The sequence below is a fragment of the Homo sapiens genome, chromosome 2 (assembly GCF_000001405.40).
Source record: "Homo sapiens chromosome 2, GRCh38.p14 Primary Assembly".
In the NCBI taxonomy this organism is placed as follows: domain Eukaryota; kingdom Metazoa; phylum Chordata; class Mammalia; order Primates; family Hominidae; genus Homo; species Homo sapiens.
The window spans coordinates 167,327,506-167,348,678 of record NC_000002.12 but is presented as its reverse complement, the minus strand read 5'-3'; the positions used below and the strand labels follow the sequence as shown (position 1 = coordinate 167,348,678).

At 36.6% G+C, this 21,173-nt stretch overlaps 1 protein-coding gene across 2 annotated transcripts in view, besides 4 other annotated features; it reads right to left on the bottom strand.

Annotated features, from left to right (window-relative positions):
- B3GALT1 (beta-1,3-galactosyltransferase 1) overlaps positions 1 to 21,173 on the bottom strand; it is a 581,045-nt gene that overhangs the window by 525,367 nt on the left and 34,505 nt on the right. The window lies entirely within an intron of this gene.
- Positions 12,726 to 13,020: a silencer, noted in NCBI's record as "tiled region #15114; HepG2 Repressive non-DNase unmatched - State 23:Low". NCBI's record gives its function as "represses a minimal TATA promoter and a strong SV40 promoter by Sharpr-MPRA in HepG2 cells {active_cell/tissue: HepG2}" and the evidence as "EXISTENCE:reporter gene assay evidence [ECO:0000049][PMID:27701403]".
- Positions 15,419 to 16,190: an enhancer, noted in NCBI's record as "NANOG-H3K4me1 hESC enhancer chr2:168188999-168189770 (GRCh37/hg19 assembly coordinates)". NCBI's record gives its function as "activates a minimal SCP1, AML or CMV promoter by ChIP-STARR-seq in naive H9 embryonic stem cells {active_cell/tissue: H9 hESC(naive)}" and the evidence as "EXISTENCE:reporter gene assay evidence [ECO:0000049][PMID:30033119]".
- Positions 16,191 to 16,962: an enhancer, noted in NCBI's record as "OCT4-NANOG-H3K27ac-H3K4me1 hESC enhancer chr2:168188227-168188998 (GRCh37/hg19 assembly coordinates)". NCBI's record gives its function as "activates a minimal SCP1, AML or CMV promoter by ChIP-STARR-seq in naive and primed H9 embryonic stem cells {active_cell/tissue: H9 hESC(naive and primed)}" and the evidence as "EXISTENCE:reporter gene assay evidence [ECO:0000049][PMID:30033119]".
- Positions 16,963 to 17,736: an enhancer, noted in NCBI's record as "H3K27ac-H3K4me1 hESC enhancer chr2:168187453-168188226 (GRCh37/hg19 assembly coordinates)". NCBI's record gives its function as "activates a minimal SCP1, AML or CMV promoter by ChIP-STARR-seq in naive H9 embryonic stem cells {active_cell/tissue: H9 hESC(naive)}" and the evidence as "EXISTENCE:reporter gene assay evidence [ECO:0000049][PMID:30033119]".

Below are 21,173 nucleotides of genomic sequence, written 5' to 3'. Positions count from 1 at the left end.
ATGAATAAAAAAAAATCTGTGATGCCAGAAACTGAAATTCAGCCCACATAAGGAGAAGCAGATTAGTAGAACATAAGTTTAGAGCAGAGGATGAAACTAGTTCATAGAAGGCCTTGAATAACAGATTAAGAAGTTTGAATTTAGGTCATTTAATATGGTTAAGCATCTCAGACTCTTATCAATTACTTCAATTTTCTGGCAAATCTTAAGCCCTGACTTTCATAAATAAAATTTATATTACGAAGTTTTATCTATGCATGAAAATATTCTATGCAATTAAAGGTAGTAATGCTCAAAAAGAATATAAAAAATAAATTTACTGTTAAAACACTGCCTGAAGGAAACTTCATGTTTCACACAATTTAGATGAAACAATATAAAAATTACTGAAAAGACATCTGGATACAACTGGTTAAATGGACGCATGTATGTCAATAGCTTGTACTAAACTTCCTGAAATTTTCATATTTAAAAAGTATATACTGTTTTAATAATAATATTTTAAGGGTTAACCTTTACTGAATATGTGTTATGTGCCAGGTGCTATGCACAATTTGGGTTTATATACACTATCTTTGATCATCACAATGGTTCCATAATTTGGAAATGACTAATATTTCACAGAAGATGAAACAAAGATTCAGAAATGCCCAAGGTCACACAGTAAATAAGTTTTGGACATGGGGTGGTAACACAGGTCAGCCAAACTCTAAAACTTGTGTCACTTCTTTCTACTAACCTAAACACCAAACTAATATTTCTAAAGGTAAACTTGATGCTGATTTCTGAAGATATTAATACATTTGGGTTTTTCAGACAACAGTTCAACTCTTCCAGGTTAAAAAGTAAGTGAATTGTTTTGTTTCCTTTTTCTACATGGTCAAAGAAAGGAAATGATAATTTTTTAAATTTCCATAAGGAAAAGCAACAAACGCATGGTTACTGAAGCAAGAATGATAGAATTGCAGATTCTGTTGGATTCCATCCGATCTACACTTTATATACTGACACTGATACTGATGTTGAAAAATGTCAAGTCACTTTCAGGTATAAGCAGTTTTGGTGAATCCCAAGTCACATAGAACCTAAAGGGTAATACAGTCCACATATAACTTAATTTTCCTTTATTTTAAATAATACAAATGAAACCTGCTGATGCAGAACCTCACACAATTTCTAGAAACCAGTTGGAAAGATGATCTGATAATCAGAGAGATATTGGAATCTCTCACAAGCCCCCTTGGAAAGGACAATTATTATAGAACTGAATTCCATTAAAAGATTCCTAATGGTCAATTAAGATAAAAGAGGATTAATGCAGTTTCATCAAGTTAAGCTCACTCTTTCTAAGCATCAACTTGCTCTAAGCTAGTGCAAGTGGCTCCTAAGTCTCTTAAAGATACCCCTTTCGACCAATAATTAAGAACTGAAGTTAATTAGAGTGAGGTAATAACCTACCTGGGATGACTCTGCATTGGGTCCATGAGGCTCTTTTATAAATTTAACATTCAAGTGCCCAGAATACTTTTATTAGAATCCATAAGATTAGAACAATTATTAGTTATTTACATTTGGTTTAAGATTACCTAATATTTAGTTGGTGATAACTACAGAGAGATTTAATGATTGCATTGGGATATTAAATGTCACTATCAAAACACAATATATTTTGTATTTAATGACAAAAATAATAACTACATTTATATGAACTTTTACAATTTTTTGGCTAACATAATGAAAGGTGGATCAGAGCTTTAGTCATAATGCCTGATAAACAGCGGATCGATAGTTTTGAGCAGTGTGTAGAAAATTGTTTTTTCCCCTCCATATAACCAGAATGATTCGTTCAGACGAGGACCCAAAATTAGATCTCACTAAATTACAGGTATACGCACACACACGCACACACACACACACGCACCACCCCCCCCCCACACACACACAAACAACTCAGAAATTAATCATGCAGACTTGATACTTTTTATGTGATGGTAGTTTTACACACCCAAAGAAAATGGACCCTCAAGATACTGAATCCAACTTACGATAACTGTAATATTTCTTTCCTGTGTGGTTAATAAAACATTATTCCATCAAGCCTTGGCATTGTACAAATAAATTGCTTAATTCCAAAATCTCCTTAACTTTGCATTAATTCTTATTATTCAAGGATTTTAGAATTTTGCATTACATTGACATAAGGGATCAGTTTAAAGATGGCTCTGCAAGTTGGTATTAGGTGATACTTAAGGCTGGGAGAAAAACTTGATGTTGTGGTTTTGGATTATTTTAAGTAAATCAGAGTAGATATATACTGTAAATAGATATACAATAGGCAAATGCAAATACATAAGTAAATTAAAACATTTATCTTAGAGCCAGTACTTGTTTTCTGAGCCTGAGGGTGTTATACCCTAGAGTGGGTGTGGGGCATACTCAATGGGTGAACTGCATTGGAGTCACCTTTGCCTTTCATGGAATATACTGATATGACATACTTTTTTCCCCTCCAAATCACAAAATGGTTATTTTCGTACTGAAACTGCTAGGAAAAAAGTGTAAAATATATTTATTTAAAATATATAACTACTATATCATTTTAAGTTACCATTCATAGAATGCTTTTTGAAAGAAAAAAAAAAAATCCAACAAATAAGTATCTAGATAAGATGACCAAGAGTTGGGACTCCACCTCTGTGCTAAAGTAAGCTGGAAAAAATACCATGAATCAGGTCTACCTCAGTGAAAATGGACAAAAGCCTTTTAACTTTGTTTTCAGATGATGATATGGGAAGACCAAGAAAACTCTCACAAAGAATTGTTTTTTAAGACTCCACTCAGTGAAGCCATTTATAAGACTCCCAGCATAATTGCCTCTTCCTCTGTTGTCCTAGAGCACTTAAGTAATCATCTACCACAGCACACTATATTTTAACAGATCACATGTCTCTACTAGTTGACTAAGAGCTTCATGAGAGTACTGTGTCTTATTTTCACCTACTGACATAACAGCGAGCACATATTTGTGGAATAAATAAATGCATTATGGATAATGAACACGCCTGGCTTTATACTACTGGAATATTTCCTTCAAAATACATAAACTCTGTGACTCTTCTAAGCTGGTCTGATAACAGAGTTCACAACTGCTCTGATTAAGCAACATAGATTTTAAAAACTAATTTTGTCAAATTTATCAAAATTAATCAAAACTTCAAAAATCCTATCTTGAGTAGGGGTCCTGATCTTACCAAAGTTGTCATGCCAACTCCCTGTGCTTAAAGACTTCAGTTATCTTTTTTTAGGGTGGTCAGTAGCAATCTCCATTAGAAAAAAATGCTGTGATAGTCTGGGCTCAGATGTCAAGACTCACAGATGAAAATTAACCAGGCCACCTACATACACTTCATGAGCCTATAGTGTTTGAATCTATCATAAGAATGCTAAGCTTCAGTTCCTATCAATGGCCAACTTATAGAAAAATCCTTCTGAGAGATGCTTGTAAGGACAGTTCATGCATTCCTCAGAGACAATCATTCTTGATTCAAATGAGATCTCCAGACTGGTGGCCATCATTTACTTAGCACTCTGCAGTAATGGGCACATAGTAAGGGTTCAATAAATATTTTGTTGATTAAATAAAAATTAAAATATTTTATTAGGATTTTTTATTTCTTCATTTTTTAACAAGATCCCTTAATTGACAGCTCCAAATGAGAACTACTTTTATAGTCTGTGTAAATCCAGTGTTGAAATCACTAACCTTATCTTGCTTAATACCTTTAGTCTCCACATTCATATGACTGGAAGAAAATTAAGCAGATTTTGAGAATAAATCTGGCTATGACATTCACTAGTAATGTGGTCTTGAATTATTTTCCAACATTCTCTGAACTTCATTTGTATTTTTTACCAAATGGGATGAGATGTAAACTTTTGTGTTTATTTGAAAGGTTAAGGAAGAGCTTGAAAGTGCTTTCCTCACGCTTGCCACACCAGAGCTCACATAGATAAAGAATGAAGCACTTACCTTGACACAAAAGTCTTCTTTCACTTAATATCAGGGCCTATTTGAAAAATTTTATTATCCATGAGAACAAAACACAATCTCTCTTTTTTTCTACTTGGCATGTTGCCCTGCACCTATATAGATTAACATTCCCAAGAAGAGTTACACAAATTGTCATTGCATTCATCTACCCAAAGTGTCAAGTTTAATTTAATTCCAGAGTGTTTGATTACCATAAGAAGGGAGAAGAAAAATGTTGATTATGAGCTCATGATCAAAATAAAAAATCAGCATAATAGAATGTTAAATGAATTTAAATGATAAAAAATATGTCCTCAATTTTGCTTCTTTTCTTGTCCCTTCCCTTCACTTTTGGAAGTGAAGGTGAGTTTGTTTTGGGGGCGAGTAGATAAAAGTTTGTTCTGAAGATATGGAAACAAACTGGTTCAATTGCTCATCTCCGTTTCACAAGTTAAATCCTTATTTGTTTTATTTCAATTATGGCCATGGTTCACACTACTTGTTACATTGATATTGTATTTACTTATTAATCATACTCATCCATTATAATTTTATATGAGTATTTTTTGTAATTGTCTAGAAAAAGAAAGAGATGGAAATAAGTGTGGTAGACAATAGTCACCCCATAGCCACCCAATACTCCCTTCTCCCTTTTCTTTCTCTGGAGGCAAGGTTTTAAACCGTGATCCAGCTTTAGCCAATGCTATGTGAGTACAAATCAGAGTGTATGTGGGCAAAGGACTTGAGCAAGCATTTTTACAAGCAGATCTTTTCCTATCTTTTGCCTTTTAGCTTCTTCCATCTTTCCCCTTCTAATACAGCCTGAAAAAGAGAACTAAAACCTGAAGATACAGAGGTCATCATGCAAGCATAACAATAAAAACTCCAATGGTAATCACAAGCTCATAATCTATATCTTTTTTCTTCCTCCTATATTTACTAATAAAAACATAAAGAAATTAAAGTTGGGGTTCTAGGGGGAGGAATATGAGGGAGGACAATGGGCATGCTTTCTTTGAAGATATCAGCCTACACAGGTTAAGAGCAGAGTATCATGCTAAGCAGGAAAAAAAGAGGTTTTTCTTTCCCCATAATCATAATAATGGCTAATCAGGAGCTAGAAAAAGCCTGGTTCCTTCTGACATTGCTTAGCCATCATGTCAGTGTAGTTGCTTAAAATGAGTCCATGTTTGTTTAAACCACCTGTAACTGATTTTCTGATGTTTGTAACTAAAGACATTCCCTGAGTGTTACAATTTGTCAAACTCAGAAAAATATATTCATAGTGATAAATTGCTTTTATTTAACATTGATTATATCACCTTACTGCTTTATAATAAACATCTTCCTAAAATTTAAGTGTCAACAGAAGAAATAACTCTTTGCATGTTTGGAATAAATGGCTATAACAGACCCCAACTTATCTAATGTCATAAAGCAAGTTTCCTCTTTTCCTCTTTCCCTGGTTACTATTTCCATTTTTCACTCAACCTGCTTCCCACTTAAAGTGTTAAGATTCATCCATCATAATGGAAGAATTAAACAAAAATACAAAGCTACTTCTGACTACTACAGGATTTTCAAATTTTATAATGTTCACAGACACTCAATTCAGTGGGCAGGACAAGGACCTTCTTTCAAGAAAGAACAATGAATAAATCCTGAATGCCCCCTTGAGGTGATATGTGTTTGGGCCACTGTAAGAGCTCACTTGCATTTGTTACGCTTTTTTCCTTTCAGCAAATACTTAAGAGCCAAGAAGCATAATTTTTGAGAATAAAAGATATCAGTAAACACAGATGTAACACACTGTGATAATGGCCACAGAAAAAGGTGTCCCCATGACCAGTCAAAGCCTGTATGTTTAGAATACATACCAGGCCATGTACACGGAAATCGGAATTGTAGTTAAAGAGACAAAAAAAATGCAGAAAAGGAATTACAGAGGAACAAGGATGGGGAGGGGAAATGGGAACTAAATATCCAGAGAATGTGGCATGCACTCATTTCCAGCAGTATTGTAAAAATTGGTTTTGTTTTTTTTTCTTTTTTTTTTTTTGAGATGAAGTCTCTCTCTGTCACCCAGGCTGGAGTGCAGTGGCACAGTCTCAGTTCACTGCAACCTCTGCCTCCCGAATTCAAGCGATTCTCCTGCCTCAGCCTCCTGAGTAGCTGAGACTACAGACGTGTGCCACCACACCAGGCTAATTTTTTTGTATTTTTAGTACAGACGGGGTTTCACCATGTTGGTCAGGCTGGTCTTGAACTCCTGACTTCAAATGATCCACCCACCTCTGCATCCCAAAGTGCTAGGATTACAGGCGTGAGCCACTGCATCCAGTCTGAGTTGCTTTTTGATAAACTCCACTTCATGTTGGGAAGTATTGATTCCAAGATCTTTTGACTTTTCTTCGACATTTTCAAGATGTGTCTTTTTTTTCAGTTTAATATTTTCTTCATGTTACTCACTCTATTTCCCCATGGAGCCTTAGATTTTAAAAAACTTACAATTTTCCATTGCTTAGAGCAATTTCTTTGGATGCCTTCAAAGACTTTATAACTGTGATTATTTTAGTTATTTCTCTGCTGAGTCTCAATATAATTTTTATGCGGCTTGACCATGTAACAACACTGAGTTCAAAATAAACTGGGCTAAGAGGGATGGTCCGGCCAGGCAAGTAATGTCCATCAATTTATTTAAAATTTCCAAATTCACTAAGAATGTAATAAGGTGAAGAAATTGGTAATTATCAGAATGCTTCTCAGAAAGAATACTCCAAGTAATTTGAATGAATATTTTGATAAGCTCATTGGATAAATAAGATTACAAAAGTCATACCAAGTAACAACAGGAAATATCTTTCCAAGAAAAATGAGTCTGATGAAGGACATTTATAGGGTCAAGTGAAGAGGGCACATTTGGAGCCAAAGCTGAATTGTTCATTTGTAAGAGAAAAGGCTGAGCAGTAATCTTTTTTTTTGTTTTTGAGATGCAGTGTCACTCTCCTGCCCAGGCTGGAGTGCAGTGGTGTGATCTCGGCTCACTGCAACCTCCTCCTCCTGGGTTCAAGTGATTCTCCTGCCTCAGCCTCCCAAATAGCTAGGACTACAGGTGCAAGCCACTATACCTGGCTAATTTTTGCATTTTTTGTAGAGACAGGGTTTCGCCACATTGGCCAGGCTGATCTCAAACTCCTGACCTGAAGTGTTCTGCCCACCTTGGCCTCCCAAAGTGCTGGGATTACAGGTATGAGCCACCACACGCAGGCAGTAATCTTTATTTTTACCTTTTTCTGCTATCAGACTCTCTTCTAAATAAATGGCAAACAAATATTTGAAGTGCATCAAACTCCAAAGAGTTCATCTGATCTTAATACACTCACATCTCACTGAAGCCTGGAATAAAGTACTCAACCAAAAAGATCATGTGCTTTTCCCTTGTTGAATTGTTTTGAGGACTTTTGTTTCCATAGTCTAAATCATCTTTTCTGTTTATCTGTGTTAATTTTAATCTGTGACTCAGTTTGGATATCTTCTAATATCCTGTTTCAAGTTCTATGATCCTATTTTCTGTTGCTCTTTGTTAAATCCATCCACTGAGTTCTTAATGTCAGTTTCCAGTTGTAGAATTTCCATTTGATTTTATTGTTTTATTTATTTTGTTGTTTTGAGTTGCAGTTTTCCATCTTTTCATCTTTTTCCCCTATTTCCTTTGTAATCTTGAACATAATATTATAGCTATTTTCAAATGAATTCTTGCCAACACCAAAAACTGACTCATTGAGTGCCTGTTTCTTTACATTATCAATTTCATGCTTCTATCTTTTCTTTCTCCATATCTGCTAACTTTTGTTGAATGAAGACATTGTGAATTTAAAATATGAAATGGTAGAGGCTCCAGATGATGATCACTTTGTCTAGAGAAGATCTTTGCTCTTCCTTCTGCTAGCCAGATAAAATGGCGTGGTGGGAACTTACTCCGATAATCTTAAAGGAGCCATGAAAAGAGTTACGTCAAGGTGACATGACCATTTTTGGAAGACTAAGTCTATCTCTCCTTTGCCTTTTTCCTGGAGAGAGTGGCCCTTCATGATTTTCCTTGGAAATCGTTGTAAATATTTGTCTCCTCAGCAATAAAGGACTGCAAAAATTTAACTATTTTTTTGGTCCTTTTTGAACTACCTCTTCAATTTCTGCTTTGAGTAGCTTCAGATTTTGACTAATGTCTTCAGGGGTAGACTGCATGTTCTTTAGAGGTCCCTCAAGTTTCAGATTTTGTCACACCAACCCTTGTTCCATTGCCAAAAGCTCTGTTTTTTTTTTTTTTTTTTTTTTCTCCCTGTACCACAGCAATGGTCTTCCCTCAAGGTGCAAGCCTGGTTTATCACCCTCTAAATACGTTCAGATTTTTAAGTGAACCTAGGGAAAAAGAGGTTGAGGAGATGATCAAGGTCAAACTGGTACTCCTACAAGTACTTTCAACTCTCATTTATTGATCTCATGTACCTTCCCTTGCTCCAACCCTTGGCAGGTATTTATTTATTGAACAGTGCATACATGCAAGAAATGCACTCTGTTTTCACAAAGTTTTTGTTCAAATCTTGTGCAGCTTTAGAATCCATGAAATGTCAGAGTTGAAAAATGTACATGCATTTGAAAACCCTCAAGCTCCATTTTTGTTTCTCCAGCCCAATAGGGTTATAAAAAGCTCTGCTTGTTTCCTGTTCCTAACAGTGACCTTCTCTCTGGGCCTAGTCCATATTTGCAACTTGTAACCTGTGTGGAGATTGAGTAACTGCCCCTGAGGGAACACTGCAGATTCTCAGCTCACTTCTGAAAAGTTCTGCTTGCTATTTTTGTAATTAATTAATTTTTCTATTTGTTTTTAGTTAAGGCTTACCCTACTGTGAACTATTCTATCCTTCTTCGAAATGGGAAGCTTATATTGTTTTCAATTTCGGTTACCTAACTGAAACATTCATTTGCTTATGTTAGACTAGCAAAATACATAAAGTATAGAGATTAACGTGTCAAACACCAATGTATCATCCACCCACCTTAAAAAGTAAATGTTTATAAATCAACCAGTTCCCCAACTTAATAAATAAACTACTTCAAGTAAAATTGAAGGTCCTTGTACATAAGTCTCTCACTCCAAATTATTCATTATGTTGGATTTAGTATTTACTTTTCTTATACACAGCTTTACATTATTTCCCTACATCCCCCCACATCCACACTCACCCCCACACTCTCCACACATATGCATTCAAATTCATAATTTACTATTTGCTCTTGTTGTATTATGTTTAAACTATATATAAGTTGTGTCATACATTTGTATTACCTGCGCAACTTGCTTTTTAAAAATTCAACATTCTTATTTTGAAATTTAAATTGTGTTGATATATACAATTTTTGTTATATACTTTCACTGAGCATTTGCATGCTTTCCGTTCTTTGCCATTTCAGTCAATGTTGCTATGAACATCCTTATGTGAGTTTCTTCTTCCACATGTCTAAGAATTACTTCGGAGTATACACATAAAAGGAGAATTGCTAGAGCAAAGTATAGCATATCTTTAATTTGAGCAAACTGTTCTCCAAGATAATAATTCTAATTTAAATGTCATCCACATTTTAAGGGAGTTCTGCTCCTCTACAGCCTCACAAATACTAAGATTAATCAGCCTCTGTAATTTCGCCAATCTAATTATACTGACATCTCATTTCATTTTTTAAATTTAAATATTTATTTATTGGAGGATTTTTATATATGCTAAATATCAATGACTTCTTGATTAAATGTATTGCAAAACCTCTTTCCTCTTCATGGTTTTTCTTTTATACTTTGTTTATTGGGCCTCTTAACGTGCAGACATTTAAAACTTCAAAGTATTCATTTTTAATCACTTTTTTCCATTATGGCTTATATATATTTGCCTTAAGAAAGAATTCCCTTCTCTCAATTTTCTTCTAGGAGTCATAAATGCTTGCTTTATACATTTTGGGTTTTAATCCAACTATAGTTATTATCTTAAAAAGGTATCGAATTTTCTTTTTTTCATATGAGTAGCACTGGGTCTCAGCACAATCACTGATTTGTAATGCCATTTATATCATCTACTAAGTTTTCGGGTATTCATGTGTTTCTTTTCTGAATGTCTAATTCCAGTCATCTATTTGTTCTCTGACCATGTATCTGTTTGTCTTCAAAATTATGGAATATTCTTGACATTTTACTGCTTTGTATATACTTTTAGTATTATGTTAGTGATCCAGATAGGTAAGGCTACATTCTACCGTGATTAATTTTGTATGTTAATACATTTGCACCACAAACTTTGATCATGTATCTAATATCTGCCAAGCTTTGTATGCAAGACCAAAAACTAAGATGACTAAAAGTCTGTTTACTCCAGCTTAACACTTTTGATGACTGCTGTACACTTTTACATATAATCTAAGAAAATAACAGATATTGGCTGTTGTGTGTGACCATTTTGACCTTATTAAATTTTCCTAAAACGAGAAATTAGGACACTTCCTTAAAAATTATCTTGGAAATATGCAATCTTATCACCTTTTCAATCTATAATATTCAGTGTTTCTTTCAGTCACACAGAAGAATGTAATGGAATTTCTAGACCCATTCACCACTTGGTTTTCAGAGCTGTTCCCATGTGTCAGTGAAGGGAAGGCAATATATACTCCAGAAAGCTCCTCTAACTGGTTTCTCGGAATCCAGAGAATTGGTTCCAATATGAGTAATAATATTGATTATTCTTTATAATTAATAACTGGGGGAAACAAATGCATACAAATGATTGCTTCTTTAAGCAATCTACTTTTCAGTGCCTTTTACACAGTAAGTGCTAAAAAGCCACTGGATACAAAGGGATATTAGTTTTACATGGCTGTAAGTACCTAAAGCTCAGAATTTAAATGCAGATATCCTGTGCAGCAACTACACAACTAACAACACTGTCTCTAGAAAAAAGAAACTGCTCAAGGAAAAGACACTTGAAACTAAAGGTGCATTCTTTGTTGTGTGTTTTTTTTTTAACTGTTAGCATGACAGTTAGCAAATGAATACACAAATCTATTTCAGCAGTCTGAAAGATTTAATTATACATCCCAAATGCTAAAGTTGTTGCTAGAAAATAAATTATACAGGAAACCCAGCTGGACAGATATTTCCTCAGAAAGCCAAAGTATTTGGGGAAAAGTTTTATTGTGGTGTGTGTGGGTGTGTGTGCGTGTGCATGTGTGTGTATGGTGTGAGAGTGTGTGTGTGTGAGCACGCATTTGGAGAGAGTGGCAAAGGAAGACAGACGGATATTCTCTCTCCAGAAATAATTTTATATACTGAAATCCTCACAGCATATTACCTTATATCCCCTAGTAAGTACCTGCATTATAGGAAGCCACAAAAAAAAATATATCCTTTGGCTCTGCTGGAGTGAAGCTTATTTTTCAGTTAAAATTGAAGAACAACTTTACATCCCACTGCAGTTTTGAACCAGCCCTCAAGTAATACTGGTATTGTCCAACATTCTGATCTTGCTCTAACCAGCCCTGGCTTGTCCACACCCTGACCCCCTCCATGGAAGAGGGGCAGGGTAGGTAAGGAGGGCATGTAATCCTCGGACAGCTGAATGGGAACTGCAGAAGTTCTGTTGTTTGCACCATAACCCAACTGTTTGAGGTAGAGATTTCCAGGTAAAACTCGATCTCAACTGTGGCTACAAACTGAAATTACAATTGGCTGGGCCTATTGGGTTAAATTCATGACACATTTCAGGATATGGGCCCTTGAGGGAAATGTTTAGAACTGTAAAAGTTATTATAGGCCAACTACTGATTTAAGAAAAAATCAATATATACCATAAATAAATAAATTTATAAATAAATAAAATACTACATCTACTGCATCTTCCGGTTTATAGACTTTGTGTAGACTGATAAATAGCTAAGAAACAACAAAATGGGAAACAATTACTAATAAGTATCTATATTTTAAAAGTAGATAAAGAAGAGTCAGGAAATGAAGACACCTAACTTGATTTCTATACCTGAAGAAAAGGACTATAAAAAATAATCAGTAATCAATAGTGAGTAATACTCAGCCTGTCTTGCCAGACTAATCTAACCTGCTTTTATGTAAGAATGCCCTTGACCTAACACTCTGCTCAGAGTGCTGCAGCAGCAAGGTCGTTCAGAGACGAATTTGAATGACAACTAATTACCATCTTTGTTGATGGCCATTACAGTAAGTGCCTTCTGGACAGTAAATTGTCTTCCTGGGTAAACCATAAAAGACTTGCCAAGCATGAACACCAATGCCCACACCAATGTCCACCCAATGAAAGGGTGGGGATAATGTATGTGGTTACTAAGGATTCCACATCATCTTAGATTACATAAAACAGTAGGATTCAGGTTGATATGTAGAAAACTACTTCAACCCAAGGGTCATTACAGCTGTAAATTTGTGGAAGTAGACTGAACTCCACTAAGGTTCCCTCTGGAATCCCCACCACCAAGATATTAGTAATCAGTAGTCCACTATCTGACAACCATAATTGAGATAAAGCAAGAAAAAGCAATAATGCATGCAAAATATCGTTTTTTTTTAATCAAAACTTGCTTATTCTCCCATTTTTACTCCCCAGCAATCAAATGAATCAGTATCTGATACTGTCAGAGGCATCTGAACCAGAGGAATTCCATCTTGAATAGGGGCTGGGTAAAATGAGGCTGAGACCTACTTGGCTGCCTTCCTAGGAAGTTAGTCATTCTAAGTCATAGGATGAGATTGGAGGTCTGCAAAAGATACAGGTCATAAAGACATTACTGATAAAACAGGTTGCAGTAAAGAAGCCAGCCAAACCCACTAAAACTCAAGGCAACGAAAGTGAACTCTGGTTGTCTCACTGCTCATTATACACTAATTATAATGCATTAGCATGCTAAGAGACACTCCTACCAGCACCATGACAGTTTACAAATGCCAAGGCAATGTCAGGAAGTTACCATATATGGTCTAAAAAGGGGAGGAAACCTCAGTTCTGGGAACTGCCCACCCCCTTCCCCGGAAACTCATGAATAATCCACCCCTTGTTTAGCATATAATCAAGAAGTAACAATAAGTTTAAGCAGCTGAGTGGACCATGCTGCTGCTCTGCCTATGGAGTAGCCATTATTTATTCTTTTACTTCCTTAATAAACTTGTTTTTACTTTATGGAATCACCTCCGTTAAAACAAACTAAATATGGCCTAAGAAGGACTCCGTACTTCTATATTTGAGTCCTTGTGGATGAACTGTAACCTAGCTTCATAGTCAGACAAAATTGAAAGATCATTAGAAAGGTAAGCCAATCTACTTTTTAGAATAAATTCAGCTGTACTACTACTGTTTTTTATTCCGCTCCCCCCTCCCCGCCCACCGTTTTTTTTTCTTTTGAGAAAGTTTTGGAAAAAACAGATCAAGAACTAAGACAGAAAGAGGGATATTTTGTGCTACTTAAAGAAAATGGAGTTTGACCTAGAGAACCATTCATGTAAGTCAAGCTACAAATTACACCTAAAGTTAAAATATAAAACAGGAAATAAAAAGCATGAATGCCTTAGCAAGAGAGTAAGTAATAGTAGTACAGCTTCAATAGAAAATCGAATAAAGCAAGAACACAAACCAACTCTGGACAAATACTAAAGAAATAAAATTACAAAACACAATCACTTGGAACTTGAGAGAACAGTCCTGAGAAAATTATTTTGCCACAATAGAAGAAAAGCAACCTCATGTCTATAACATAATTCTTGAGAGGAGTCCAGAATTAGTTTATATAAATAAACTTTTGGTTATAGTAAAATACTCTCTGTTGTTAAAACATCTCTGTGTTCCCCTTATTCACCATATCTTGCCTAGTTCTTATACATTTATAAATTCCTCATAACAAATGGCATGCTAAAATAGCTTCCTTTTCCTTAAGGAAGAAACACAATCATCTTTCATTTAAGGATTGTAAACTTTTTATTATTTTTATTGCTCATTTCAACTTCTTCCTTCAATAAGGAAGTAACAGGAGAAAATATGCTTCAATGTTAGTCCACATTTATATGGCCCAAAACATCTTTAGTTTAAAGCTGATTTCACAGGGAATTACAAACTTGAATGAATCAGTTCATGACCTCCTTTAAAACGAACTTCAGATATGACTGCTTCATGCTTCATCAACTGTCTTTAACATAATGAATTATAAAGCATGGTTAAACCACCTTGCAGGGACTATTTAAAAGTGAATAGAGTCCTTTTACTTTCCAACTTATTCCTCTTAGAAGATTAGGAGGAGATACCAGATGGTTAGTTTTCCATCCATACTAATCTTAAAGGCAGTCAGTTGCCAAATGGTCCATGCTATCATTAAGTTCTTTTGTGCAGAGTAAAGTCATTTTTGAGGATCACTAGTACACTAATTATTATAATTAACTAAATTATGTGTTGAACTGCAGTGTGTTGTATTTATTATCCAATATATATATAGGATCATGTTCTAAATTGTATTCAATTATAGTAACTGACATAATGAAATTCTAATTGATGTAATTTTTTAAAAAGAACTTGAATAAAAGTTTATAAGGTATTATCTGGAAAGTAAAAAAATAATGACACAAAAAGTGCAAAGTTCTCAAAATGCAAAGATTTTAAAAGCTTCTTAAGCCTAAATAAGAAGGTTTCTCGGTGCCACCAAACAATACTCTGAGAAGACAGGTTGTTTTTTCTCTAAGCCTTTTTAAATCTGTCCTTGTGCTTCCATTCTCAGTAACTTCACCATAGTTTGGGCTAATCTAGTTCACTTCCTCCCTGAAGTATTGCAATAACCTAAATGCATTGCTTTCTAATTCTCTAAGTGTCATCTAATGCATTCTGTAAGCCAATTATTTCTTACGATATTGTCCAGTTCCAGCAGCATCTTGAGATGCTTTATCCTGTTACTTATACAGTTCCCTGACACTGCCATTCTAGGTCATCAGGTAGTTTCAATGTGGGTAGAAAGAAATGCAGAACCCAGTGCTTATGAAGCCTCAGTCACTAACTAGCTATGTGAGCATGAGGAAGCCACCTTAGAATCATGATTCAACGATCAATCTAACACTGGTTCTCAGACTGTCAACTCCTGCCTCTGTGCAGTACTGCGATAGTATCAGCAGAGGCAGTAAGAGGTCTGGGGATTTAACTAATTCTTAAAGAGAATTTTGACCAATTCTCCTGGTGTTAGCCCTGCTTTACACTAACTTCCAAAGGCACCTGTCGGCACCAGTTGTTGTCTTTTGGGCTCCATGAAGTAAACTAGGGAGCTTCTTGGCTTTCTGCATAATTACTTTAGGGTTTAAGTATTTCAGTACTGCTAGGTTAGTTATCGCTTGTTCATCCACATTTTGTTTTCCAAAATTGGGTTGCTGTTGTCTCCTCTTTTGTTTTTGTCCTTGTGAGTTTATGCCTTTGAAAAAGCTTCCTTTTACTACCATTTTAACAGAATTTCATGGAAGAGTGAAAGTAAATGCACATGGTTCAATTTGCCATCATTACCTAGAATTAAGTTTTCTGAAACTTGTTTTAGGAAAGGTATGCTTGTGAAAGCTACATCCAGCAATCCAGCAGACCTGGAATTTGCCTGAGCTGTCTCATGAAAATAAAAAATATATCTGCACAGTGCAGACACCCAGGTAAGGCATGAAATGTACTGATTAATAGTGTTGCTTTATAACCGTGGGTCCAAGGAGTTTGGAAAGATTTGTACCAGCTTGTCAGCACTGCTTAACTGATAACAGTAAGATTGATGATTTGCATTTGTTCTCTATGAGATCCTTAGAGGGCCTGTTAGTGGGGCTGTCTATGTGGCAAAAATCTGCCAACATGTCCAGCAGAGTCATCTGGGCCAAGACTCCACTTGGGCATACCTGGTTCCGAAGTGTTTTGTGCACACATCTGCGGTTTCTGATCTGAGAGAGAAAGTACATCCTGTATGATCTTTACTAAAGAGGGCAACTGGGGCATGCACCTACCTTTCCTAACTTCCTGCTGTGAAACAGCCTTTGGATGTGACACATATCCTTAACTAAATGCTGTTGCTATATTGTATCATTTTCCTGCAATAAAATATATGTTTGTGTGCACTGTCATTGCTGATACTGTAGGTCTTATTTAGCAACCTAACACTGTTTAACTGCCACTATTAGTGCAATAGGTAACTACATAATTCTACATTTTCATATATTGCTTCAGTAATTTCTGCATAACAAATAAGTGTGTTACATTTATTAGGTAAAAATCGTTCTTGTTGGTTTTGGATCCTAATAAAATAAAAGCCTCAGAATCGGCCAGGAGCTGGGAGAGACTCCTCATTGCAGGAAAAGGGGAAGTGAGAGCCCCCAGCAGTCCACATTCCTGCTGTGGACTCCTATAATCCTAGCCATGGGAGGTCCCCTTGACTATTGTGTACTCTGAGATTAACATAGGGAACATCCTGGAAACCATGAAAAGTCACTTCTACAGAGAGAGAGTTCACACTGGGTCTCACAAGCCCCCAAGTCTAGGGCAGAAGCAGCATGGCACCATTTAGCGAACATAGCCCCCACCTCACCAGACTGCATCCTGCCCTGCAACCAGGGCTGCAATCCCACGCAGCTGCGCATGCTCAGAGGCCTCAAGGACAAATTCCACTGCCTACAACCACCGCAACTGCAGACTGCTGTGGAGCAAGGCAGAGGGGAAGCCACCCGCCTATGGCTGCTCCCAGGGAAAGCAACTCTGCCTTCCTCAGTAGCAGGGTTGCAGCACAGCTGCTGCTACCTCCAACTGAGCACCCTACCAGTGGCCTGGGACTCACCCCATCCCTGCAAATCACAGCCAGTGTCTTTAGGTACCACCAGGGGGCCCCAGCCTGGCTCTGTTTCTGGCCCTCCTCCCCAATCCAATACTACAGCATACCATCCAGAAGCCTGGGGATCACTCAGCCCAGCCCACTAGTGGTAGCACCTAAGCATGCCTCCTGGGGTCTGAGGCCAGGCCCACTCAACCTGCCACAACTATTACAGCTGGCACCCACTCCAGTATGCCACCTGCAGGTCCAGGGACCAGCTTGTACAACCCATCACATACACTGCCAACACCAGCATGGACCACATGGGTCTCAGAGGGTTGTCCCAACACTGCTACCACTACTGCTCATGCCATGACCACTGCCCAAGGACTTGGGAAACCATCCGCCCACCCAGCCCACTGCTGCCATCATCCCCAGCACCCAAGCAAGCCACCTGGAGGCTCAAGAATCAGCCTGCTTGGACCTACTGGCATCATCACCAGCAATATGCTGCCATGGGGCTCAAGGGCAAGCATGTTCAGCCCGCTGTGATCATTAGGGCCCAAAGCTGGCCTACCTGTCATCCCAGTCCCCAGAATAACTTCGCCACAGCCTCTACTAACAATCACAGCCTAAGCCACCAAGGAAATCATAGACCCTTCTGAGGCTATTTACATACCCCCCCAAAAAAAATCATAACACCAGACTGTACTACTGTATGTATCCAGAATTGAAGCCCAAGTGCTACACTCAACACCACAGATACAACTTCAGAAAAAAACATCCGTCCATATGAAAGTAAATTTTAAAATTTGGGAAAAAAACACTGTCACACTAGATGTGCAGATATGAACATAAAGATACAGGAAGCATAAAAAAGCAAGGCAAATTGATACATTCAAAGGAATACAATAATTATCCAGCAACAGAACCCAATTTAAGAAATTCACAAAATCCCAGAAAAAGAATTCAAAATATTGATCTAAAGGAGCTCAATGAGATATAAGAGAATTCCAAAAACAATATAAAGAAATCAGAATAACAATTCAGAATATGAATGAGAAATTTACCAAAGAGATTGATATCATAAAAAGATACAAACAAACTCTGGAACTGAAGAATTCATTGAAAGAAATACAAAACATATCTGTATTTTTGGGGAAGTGTGCGGGTAGGCTGGGTCGCGCTCTGTCGCTTAAACTGGAGTGCAGTGGTGTGATCATGGCTCACTGCGGCCTCAACCTCCTGGGCTCAGGTGATCCTCCCACCTCAGCCACCCAAGTTGCTGGCACTACAGGCACGTGCCACAATGCCCAACTAATTTTTAAAATATTTTTTGTAGAGACAGGGTCTCACTATGTTGCCCAGGCTGATATCACACTTTTGGGCTCAAGGAAGGCTCTCATCTCAGCCTCCCAAAGTGTTGAGATTAAAGGTGTGAGTCACTGTGCCTGGCCACAAGATACATTTGAAAGCTTCAACAATAGACTAGATCTAGCAGAAGAATCTCAGAACATGAACAGAGGTCTGTTAAAATAACCCAGTCAGACAAAAATAAACAAAAAAGAATCTGAAAGAATGAGCAATGCCTTTGTGACATATGGGACACCATAAAGCAACCAAATATATGAATTATCAGGGTCCTAGAGTGAAGAAGGAATGAAAGGGTTAGAAAACCTATTTAACAAAATAATGGATGAAAACTTCCCAAGTCTAGCAAGAGATTTAGACAATAAGATACAGGAGGCACAGATGTGTCCAAACAGATACAAGGCAAAAAAAGGACTTCTCCATGCACATTATGGTCAAACTGCCTAAAGTCAAAAACAGACTTCTAAAAACAGAAAGACAAAAGTATCATCTATTAATTAACCCCCATCAGACTAACAGCAGATTTCTCAACAGAAACCTTACAGGCCATTGAGAGAATGGGACATAGATTCAAAGGCTGAAAGAGGAAAAAAAAAAACAAAACAAAAACTGCCAGTTAAGGATACTATATCCAGCAAAATTATTCTTTGGAAATGAAGGAGAAATAAAGTCTTTCCCAGAAAAACCAAAGCTAAGGAAATTAATCCCTACTAGACCAGCCCTACAAGAAATAATCAAGTTCTAAATATATATGCATCCAAAATTGCAGCGCCCAGATTTATAAAGCAAATATTACTAGATCTAAAGAAAGAGACAGACTGCAGTACAATAATAGTGGGGAACTTCAACCTCAAGACAGAAAATCAACAAAGAAACACTGGATTTAAACTGGACTTTAGATTAAACAGAACTAACAGACATTTACAGAACATTTTGTCTAACAACTGCAGAATACACACTCTTCTTATCAGCACATGTAACATTCTCCAGGATACACATTATGTTAGGTGACAAAATAAGTCTCAACAGATTTAAAAAACATGAAATCCACTCAGACCAGTACGGAATAAAACTAAAACTGAATATCAAAAACTTTGGAAACTATACAAATACATGGATATTAAACAACATGCTACTGAATGACCACTGGGTCAATGAAGAAATTAAGATGGAAATTTTAAAAATTCTTGTAATAAAATGGAAACACAACATACCAAAACCTGTAGGGTAGAGCAAAAGATTCCCTGAGACAGAATTTATAGCAAAAAACACCTACATTTAAAAAGTATAAAGACTGTGACCAGGCGTGGTGGCTCACTCGTGTAATCCCAGCACTTTGGGAGGCCGAGGTAGGTGGATCACCTGAGGTCAGGAGTTGAAGACCAGCCTGGCCAACACAGTGAAACCCTGTCTCTACTAAAAATACAAAAATCAGCCAGGCGTGGTGGTGCGCCCCTGTAGACCCAGCTACTTGGGTTGCTGAGGCAAGAGAATTGTTTGAATCTAGGAGGCGGAGCTTGCAGTGAGCTGCGATCATCCCACTACACTTCAGCCTGGGTGACAAGTGAGACGTGGTTAAAAAAAATAAAATAAAAAAAGTAGAAAAATGTAATATAATCTAATGATAGACCTCAAAGGACTAGAAAAACAAGAAAAAACCTAACCTAAAATAAGCAGAAGGAAATAAATAATGAAGATCAGAGGAGTACTAAACAAAATAGAGACTAAGAAAATTACAAACGATCAAATACATGAAAAGTTGGTTCTTCAAAAAGATAAAATTAATAAACCATTAGCTAGAGTAACCAAGAAAAGAAAGAAGAAACAAATAAAATCAGAAATAAAAAGGAGACATTACAACTGATACCACAGAAATACAAAAGATCTTCAGAGATTATTATGAACAAAATATGTGAATGAACTGGACAACCTAGAGGAAATGGATAAATTCCTATAAACATACAACTTACCAAAATTAAATCAGGAAGAAAACCTGAATAGACAAAAAATGAGTAGTGAGATTAAATCAGTAATAAAGTCTTGCAACAAAGAAAAACCCAGAATCAGAATAATTCACTGCCAAATTCTACCAAACGTATAAAGATGAACTAACACCAGTGTTCTCTAAACTTTTCCCAAAAAATTGAAGAAGAAGGAATCCTTTCTAACTCATTATACAAGGTCAGCATTACCCTGATACCAAATCCAGACAATGGCACAACAGGAAAAGAAAACTACAGGTCAACATCTCTGATGAACACAGGCACAAAAATCCTTAACAAAATACTAGCAAACCTAACTCAACAACACTTTGAAAAGAAAATACACCATGATTAAGTGGGATTTATACCAGGGAGGCAAGAATGGCTCAAAATACACAAATCAATAAATGTAATACATCACATCACCAGAAGGAAGGTGGAAATTACATGGTCATCTCAATAGATGCAGAAAAAGTATTTGATGAATTTAACATCACGTCATGATAAAAATTCTCAACAAACCAGGCACAGAAGAAACATAACTCAAAATAATAAATGGCATGTATGACAAACCCACAGCTAACAACATTCTGAATGGGGAAAATTTGAAAGCCTTTCCTGTAAGAACTGTAACAAGACAAGGATGCCCACTTTCACCACTCCTATTCAACATAGTACTGGAAGTCCTATCCACAGCAATCCAGCAAGAGAAAGAAACAAAAAGCATCCACATGGGAGAACAGGAAGTCAAACTGTCCTTCTTTGCAGATGACATGATCTTATATTTTAAAAAAACAAAGACTCCACTAAAAATCTCTAAGAGTTGATAAACAAATTCAGTTAAGTTCCAGGACAGAAAATCAACATACAAAAATCAGTAGCATATCTATACACCTATAATGAAATAGCCAAAACAGAAATCA